The 9,102-nt window shown below is 36.5% G+C and overlaps 1 annotated feature.

Moving 5' to 3' along the window:
* Positions 341-902: an enhancer, noted in NCBI's record as "NANOG hESC enhancer chr1:232268265-232268826 (GRCh37/hg19 assembly coordinates)". NCBI's record gives its function as "activates a minimal SCP1, AML or CMV promoter by ChIP-STARR-seq in naive H9 embryonic stem cells {active_cell/tissue: H9 hESC(naive)}" and the evidence as "EXISTENCE:reporter gene assay evidence [ECO:0000049][PMID:30033119]".

Genomic DNA, 9,102 nt, shown 5'->3' with positions numbered 1-9,102 from the left:
TTTGAGGCTTTCTGCCTTATTCCTACCTATCGTCATGCTTAAGGCAACCATGAAGAAAACAAAGGTAGTATTTCTTTTAAAAGTATAGCAATCCTAAAATGCTCTTTTTCCAATCAGAAAAGAAGTACCTAATGGGATTTTTACCTATTGATCACTTAGTCATCACTCACTGAGCCAAAAATATAGGGACATTTAAAATATATATATATATATGTGAGTTACTTTTGGGTTCCAACATTTTAGAAATTGTAACTGCTCTCTAATGTAATTCTCCTAACTCTTAAATTGGATATCTTTCCATTGTAGTGGAAGATTTTAAAATTCATTCAAAGTGAACAAATATATATAATTTTAAAATAGTTTTTAATATTAAAAAATCTTAACAGATTATAATTTCTTCAAATTTTAAGTTTATTTTACACTTTGTATTCATTAAATAACTGACAAGACTCTCAGAAGAAAGCCCCAGAAAAAAATGAGTACTTTTGGAATCCTTCAAGTGCCTACAACTTATTAGATGGTTCTGAATGAAAAAAATAAACTGTTCCTTTTTTCTTCTCTCATACCACAACAATCAATACAGAGGACAAGTGAACAATCAATGACTGAGTGGATACCAGCTGGGTGTCCTCCAATTCAATTCTGATGCAATCTACCTAAAAACAGCATCAGATCCCACAGGTTGAAGATTTATTCAACAAGCCTGTCTCTCTTCCAGTGCAATTGCAAACCCAAGGTTGTTTTGCCTGTGCTTCTGACAGACCAGCTATAAATCCCAGGATTTCTTATTTGGATTCAATTAATTTGCTAGTGCAGCTTACAGAACTCAGGGAAACGCTTGCTTATGTTGACCAGTTCGTTATTATAAAGGGTGTTACAAAGGGTACAGATGAAGAGATGCACAGGGCAAGAGATGCATGGGGGAAGGAGCACAGAGCTTCCATGCCCTTCCTGGGTGCACCACCCTCCAGAAACCTTGTGTTCAACTATATGAGAGCCCTCTGAACCCTGTCCTTTCAGGTTTTTATGGAGGCTTCATTTCATAGGTATGATTGATTAAAACATTGGCTATTGGTGATCAATTTAATGTTCAGCCCCTCTCCCCTCTCTGGAGGTTGGGAGTAAAGCTGAAAATCTCAATCCTATAATCATGCCTTGGCTTTTTTTTTGTGAACAGACCCCATCCTGAAGCTGCCCAGGGGCTGTCAGCCATCAGTCAACTCATTAGCATACAAAAAGACACTTATCACTTTGGAGATTCCAAGAATTTTAGGAGTTGTATGCCAGGAGATGGGGACAAAGACCAAATATATATATTTCACAGTATGATACATGGGAAATCTGTTAAGCATTCTAAAAGATGAATTTTCTTTCTATGTAAAAAAAAATCACATTTTTAAAAAGTAGCTTATGGTGTCTAGAAAATTCTTAATTATCCAGGGAGCACAGATATAAATCTGTGTATAGAAAATCACAGACGTAGTGCTCTGCTGAAACAGTGCCATCTGTGGTTTGCCTGGCCTGCCCTCAGGTCCCTGGAGAGGAATTGGCTATAAACTGCACATTGCAGACACTGGGTGCCATAGCTGGTCTGGTATGATTTCCACAATGTCTTCTCTCTGCTTCTTCCTATTTGGACTTCTTTGTGTCTGATATGCTGTGATCATTATGTATTCCACAGGACCTTTGCTTGGTGTTCTGGTGATACACATAGCTATATGTATACAGTCTAGCAGCCTCAAAAGTGTGGTGAAAAATGCTGTGGGTATGCTACACCATGGCCCAGAAAGGGCATCCCCAAAGCAATAGTATTGGTTCTTCTAACTTCTGGCCCCCAAAAGAAATAGGTATAATATTTGGAGTGAATCAGACTCAATGACATTTTTGGTATATATGTCTTCATCAATTAGATCCAACCAGAGAGCTTATATTAAAAAGCAGGATATTTATAACATGGTCCAGAAGCCTTTGATCTATAGGTCTCTATCTTTATATATATGTATGTTTGTTTTTTAATACCTTCACAATAAAGTGACCAACTGTCCTGGTTTGCCTGGGACTGAAGAGTTTCCTAGTGATGCAGGATTGTTTTGCTTCTTAGCTCAGCTAGGTGTGGGTTCTTGTCTCATGGCCAGGAAGAATTAGGCATGCAGACATCAAAGAGTGAGTGGAGTAGAATTTACCAAGCAAATGGAAAGCTCTCAGCAAAAAAAGGGGATGCAGGCAGGCAAGTGCCCCCCTCACGGTTTAATACCTGGGCTTAAGGCACGAATTCCTGGCGGCTCCACCCCATCCTTCTAGTGAACATGCAGGCCCTTAGACTAAACTTCTCTATATTGATTTAATTCCCTTACTGTGCATGTGTTCAGGAATTCAACTTTCCACTGCAGGCATGTTTAGGCAAGCACCCTGTGCAAGTTTCCTTATCTGAACAAAACATCTGATGTAAGCACTTGTGGGGCGGGTAAGAGGTTCTCTGGGGCCCCTTCCCTACTGTTTGCCTAAAGCAAGCTGGCTAACTCCTTTCACTAGGACATGGAATTTCCAATGTTTTTCTTATTGTTGTTTTTAAGAGAAAAGATTTCCCTATGTTGCCCAGACTGGCCTTAAACTCTTGGGCTCAAACTATCTTCCTGCCTCAGTTTCCCAAGTAACTGGGACTACAGTAGCACATCACCCCCCCCAGCTAGAATTTTATGTTTTAAAACTGTGAAAGTTCCAGGCAAACCAGGATGACTTGGTCACTCTATTTACGTGTTATAAATATGATTATGAAGTGTGACTACCCCCAAGAGAAGAAAAAGTTCAACCAGGAATAGATGGAGGGGAACAGCTGATTATGGAAGCTCAGGGGAACATTCAGCCGATGAGTGAGGTCAGCAGTCTGGATTTAAGGCCCGAAGCAAGGCCAGAAAGTGTGGGGCATGATCAGTCAAGATGGACAGAGAATGAGAGTCAAGGTCAGCCAAGAGCTGTGTGTGCCCAAGGTGTAGGCAAAAGAGTCCCAGCATTTTGAAGAGTCTCAAATAGCATTTTGAAGGTCAAACACTTCCACCTCAAGGCTTCTTTTTTGGTTTTTCTCTTTTTCTTCTCTCACCTATGGACATGCTCTCAAACGGCTTGGATAATTAAGCCAGGTGGGTTGACCTGGCACAGGAAGGTCACCTGGGCAATTATACTCCAGAGCTAGTCTCATGAAGGACATTATGCTGATTCACTCTTGGAAAATAAGAATTTAGGTCATTCCCTACCAGATTCTGTCTAATTTTTCAAGGTCCCAGAAATCTTGTAGTTGGGATAGTCATGGGCTGTAGCAACTGGTAATATCTTTCCTTTGCCTAACACTTTCAACTTCTCAAAGTACTTCACATCTATTTCTACCTACTATTTGCTCTATAGCTCCTAGAAGTGCATAGAGAATTATTACTAGCTCCCTTTTGTAGATGAAGACAAAAAAGGCAGAGATAATGATAAGCATTATTAAAATCTCAGGGCTATAAACAAAAGAGCCGGCCTGGAATCTGTGTTTTCTAATTCCCAGTTCTCTCCTAAATTAGGGCTATATACTTCGTAAAATTACAAATAATATTTTTTTATCAGAAAAAAACTAGAGATGATCTAATGCAATGATTTTAAATGTTTAACATAGCAGAATCATATTGCAAATATATGCAAAATCCATCAATTCTCCCTTTATCCCCATGAACTGCTTCCTAATGCCTAATCTCCCTGGAACCCAGTTTGGAAGTCACTGATGAAGTCTATCCCATTCATTTTCTATACAAGGAAACAGCCAGAAAGACCTCACTGGGATGTGCCTCAGGTTACTCAGCTGGTTAAAGGAAGAACTAGAATCCTGCCCTAGGGTTCTCAATTTTTAGTTTATTATAAACTATCCATCATCGCTTGAGTTTTCTATAGTCTTTTACACCCAAGCAACTATCATAATCTGCATTTTGTTGTTTAAATTCTTTTATTCTCCTGGCTTCATTTGTGATTGCTTATTTTTTATAGCAATAAGTTGAAAATATAAATCAGAAAATTACTTCACAGTTCAGTATTTAGTTTGTTAGTGGAATTCTTTTCAAGCACTTAAAAAATCGTATGGGTAAGTTACCAGGGACATCATAAAATATTATAGTTTGCCTATCAGTATCAGCATGTGGAGCACAGAAAAATCTTATCAAGAGAAGTATCACAGAGTTACATCAGCAAAATGACAGAGGAGAGTAAACAGCTCCAAGCTCATGTCCCTCCAAAGAAACATAGAAAAACAAGCAGAATTGCCAGAACCAACTTACAGGACTCTCTAAAACAGTCAAAGCTTTACAGAACCAAGTGGAAGCTGAATCCAAACAACAGCAAAAAAAGGCAAGTTAAGAATGGTAGAAAAGTTTTGTGGCATTCTTTTATTTGCACTTGCCCCAACCCCTCCCCAACTGAGAAGAGGTCTTTAGGATGGCAGCCTGCATCCCCAGGGTGGGATGCTGATCCCTGGTTCCAGAGAGAACACAGCAAGACTTATGTGTAAATCATTCTGTTTGTCTGCTCTAACTTGTTGAGGGCTACCTGAAGAACTGATGCAAGGTGCTCATCTCTGTTTTGCCTAATGTGGAGCTTACTCAAGACAAAAAAGTGGCAGGCATTGCTCAAAATCAATGCAAGATAAATGAGAAACTCACAGCTGCCTTGAGCAAAATATTACAGTCAAGGTTTACAATAGAACACCTAAAGCCTGGGAGAAAAAATGACGATAGTTTCTTTTGGAAATTTGGGCATTCAAAAGCACCTGTGTATACTGGAAAATCTAGAAAGACACATGGATGCCCAAGGAAGAATGCATTCTCAGAAAACATCTGGGAAGACCCTAAACTTTCACTTTTTATCTCTAGACTCAGTGCAAGCAGGAAAGAAAGATTGAGGCAGGGTTGTAAAGAGCCTGACTAAGTGCTGAAGTGTTGAAGAAGGAGTACATTAACATAGAGTCATCCACAGAGATGGAAGAGGTGGGGTTTGGAGTTTTTTGTTTTATTTTATATTTTGACTTGTTTAATATTGTTAGCTCTTGATGTTCAAGGAAATCTGTATCAGAACAACAACTGAACACAAGGTAAAGGAATAGAAGTTTCAGGGACACACAATGAAGAATACACAGTCTTTGGAAAAACAGCCTAAAAGAGTCACTAAAGAAACAGATGTGTGTAGCCTTCAACAATCAAAAAGAGCACATCCTGGGGAAGGGGAATAATCTGTTTTCCAGAGTTAAACTATTGTAATATTCAAATGTCCGTGTTTCAACAAAAAAATTGTAAGGCATAAAAAGAAACAAAGAACTCTGGTTCATTTTCAAGAAAAAAACAAATTCACAGAAACAATCCCTGAAGAAGTGAAGTCATTAGCATTACTCTACAACAATCTTAAATCAACTGTTTTAATTATTTTCAAATAGCTATAGAAAACCACATAAGAACTAAAAAAAACTAGAAAAATATATGAGCAAAATGATGATATCAATAAAGATACAGAAATTAGAAAAAGGACCTATATAGAAATTTTAAAGCTGTAAAGTAAAATAATTGAAATAAAAAATGCAGTAGAGTTTTTCAACAGCAGATTAGAGCAAGCCAAAAAGAGACTAAGTGAACTTAAAGAGAGAACAATTAAAAGTATCCAGTCTAGGAGCAGAAAGAAAAAAAGAATGAAGAAAAGTAACCAGAACATAAGAACCTATGGGCCTCCATCAAGTGGACCAGCTATGCATTATGGAGTCCCAGAAGGAGAACAGAAAGAGAGATGGGGTAGAAAGAATATTTGAAAAAATAATGGCCAAAATCTTTGCTAAATTTGATTAATGACAAGAATTTACAGATTCAAGAAGCTCAACAAACTCCCATACAATAAACTCAAAGAGAATCCCACTGAAACATGTTACAATCAAACTGTCAAACCCATATACAGAATTTTGAATCAGCAAGAAAGAAATGACTCGTCATGCAGAAGACATCCTCAACAAGGATAATAGCTGATGACTCATCAGAAGGCATGGAGGCCACAAGGCAGTGGGATGACATACTTAAAGTGCTGACAAAAAAACTGTCAACTAAGGACTTTAAAACTATCTTCCAAAGGTGAAAATATTAGGATATATGCAGATTTTTTAAAGCTGAGAAAATTCGTTACCTGTAAACCTGCCCTTCAAGGAATGTTAAGGGCAGTCCTTCAGGATGAAACAGAAGGACACCAGGCAATAACCTGAAGCTATAAGAAGAAATAAATATCTACAATAAAGTTTACTAAATAGGTAAATATTAAAACCAGTGTTATTGCATTTTTTGTTTGTAACTACACTTTTTATTTCCTACATGATTTAAAGATAATTGCATGAAAATCATTGCAAATCTATGTTATCTGTATATATATATATCATACTACATAAAGATAATATGTATTATGAAAGGAAAAGAAATCTTGGGGCCCCCAAATCACTAAACTAAAGGGAAAAGTCAAGTGGGGAACTGCTTAGGGCAAATCTGCCTCCCGTTCTATTCAGTCACCCCTCTGCTCACTGAGGTAAATGCATATCTGATTATCTCATTTGGAGAGGCTAATCAGAAACTCAAAAGACTGTAACCATTTTTCTCTTATCTACCTATGACCTGGAAGCCCCCTCCCTGCTTCGAGTTGTCCTGCCATTGCCTCGGGTTTTCCCACCTTTCTGGACTGAACCAATCTACATCTTACACACATTTATTGAAGTCTCATGTCTCCCTAGAATGTATAAAACCAAGCTGTGCCCCTAATACCTTGGGCACATGTCATCAGGACCGCCTGAGGTTGTGTCATGGGCATACATCCTCAATCTTGGCAAAATAAACTTTCTAAATTAACTAAGACCTCTCTCAGATTTTCAGGGTTCACAGTATCTTTATATTTTATGTTAGGCACACAATATATGAAGATATAATTTGTAACAATAACAATAACATAAAAGGGGATAGAGCTGTATAGAAGAAGAGTTTTTGTTTGCTATTGAAGTTAAATAGGTGTCCGTTCTAACCATATCACTACAAACTTAAGATGGTAAATATAATCCCCCTGGCAATCCCTGAGACTGTGTTTAAAAAGTATACACAGAACTCAGCAAGCAGGGCATCAAAACGGTGTGAAAAAAAAAATCAACTAACCACAAAGGAGGCAGTAATGGAGAAAATGAGCATCACAACAGTAATAAAACATGCAGAAAACATATAGAAAAAGAGCAAAAGTAAGTTCTTCCTTAACTGCCTCAAAATTAAATGGATTAAAATCTCCAATCAAAAGGCAGAGTTTGAAAGAATAGATATTTTAAAAATGATCCAACTATATGCTGTCTCCAAATGACCCACTTTAGATCCAAACAGACACAAATAAATTTAAAGTGAAACGATAGAAAAATATATGCCATGCAAACAGTAACCAAAAGACAGCTGGAGCAGCTATAGGTATCAGGCAAAATAGACATCAGTCAAAAACTGTCAAAAAAGACACAGAAGGGCATTACATATTGATTAAAGGGTTAACTCATCAAAAAGATTTAACATTTATAAACAGATATGTACCAAACAACAGAGTCCCAAAATATATGAAGCTAACACCGACTAAAGTAAAGGGAGAAATAGATAATTCTATAATAACAGCTGGAAACTTGAATATACAACTTTCAATAATGGATAAAACATCTGGACAAAAGATCAGCAAGAAAATAGAGAGTATTAACAATTGTATAAACAACTAGAAACAGACATATATAGAATATCATATGCAACAACAGCAAAATACACATTCTTCTCAAGTGCACATAGAAAATTCTCTAGGATGGACCATGCATTAGGTACAAAACAAGTCTCAATAAATTTAAAAGAATTGAAATAATAAAAAGTATCTTCTTTGACCACAATGGAATAAAGATATAAATCAATAACAGAAAGAAAACTAGAAAATTCACAAATATGTGCAAGTTAAATGACACACTCTTAAGCAACAGGGGGTCATAGTTGAAATGACAAGGGAAATTAGAAAATACTTAGAAACAATTGAAAAGAGAAACACAACATACCAAAATGTATGGGATGCAGCAAAGGTAGTATTCAGAGGGAAATTTATAACAGGTAAACATCTACATTACAAAAGATGAAAAGTCTCAAATCAATAACCTAACTTTACACCTCAAGGAACTAGAAAAAGAAGAATAAGATAAACCTAAAACTAGCAAAGGAAGAAAATAATGAAGATTAGAGCAGAGATAAACGCAATAAAGAATAGAAAATCAATAGAATCAATGTAACTAAAAATTGATCTTAAAAACTGACAAATCTTTAGCTAGATTGACAACAAAGAAAGAGGACACAAATAAGTAAAATAAAAGTGGAAGACATTATTACTGACCTTACAGAAACAAAAAGAATTTAAACAAATACTATAAACAGTTATACGCCAGCAAATTAGATAATGTAAACGAAATGAACAAATTCCCAGAAAAAAACAAATTATCAAAACTGACTCAAGAAGAAATATAAAATCTGAGCAGAATTATAACAAATGAAAACACTGAATCAGTAATAAACCTCTCAACAAAGAACAGTTCAGGGACAGATGGCTTCACTGGGGATTCTACCAAGCATTTAAGGAAGAATGAACACCCATTCTTCTCAAACTCTTTCCAGAAATGAAAGAGAGGAGAACACTTCCTGATTCATTCCATGAGGCTAGCATTAACCTGATACCAAAGTCAGGTTTCTTGTGATGAAAAGAAATCACAAGAAAAGAAAATAACAAGAAAAAAAAAAAAAGAAAATTACAGATCAACATCCTTTGTAAAACAAAAGTACTAACAAATTGAATTCAGCAGCACATTAAATAGATTATGCACTACAACCAAGCGGTAGTTATTCCAGGAATGCAAGAGTGATTCAACACCACCACCAAAAACAATGACAACAGCAACAACAACAAAAGGAACAATGTAATACAACACATTAATAAAGGGAGGAAAAATGCTTGATCATCTCGATTGATGCAGAAAAAGACATTTGACAAAATCTGCTACCTTTCATCATAAAAACA

Source organism: Homo sapiens, chromosome 1 (genome assembly GCF_000001405.40).
Source record: "Homo sapiens chromosome 1, GRCh38.p14 Primary Assembly".
Lineage (NCBI taxonomy): Eukaryota > Metazoa > Chordata > Mammalia > Primates > Hominidae > Homo > Homo sapiens.
The sequence above is the reverse complement of the archived record's forward strand: the minus strand, read 5'-3'. Positions and strand labels throughout refer to the sequence as shown.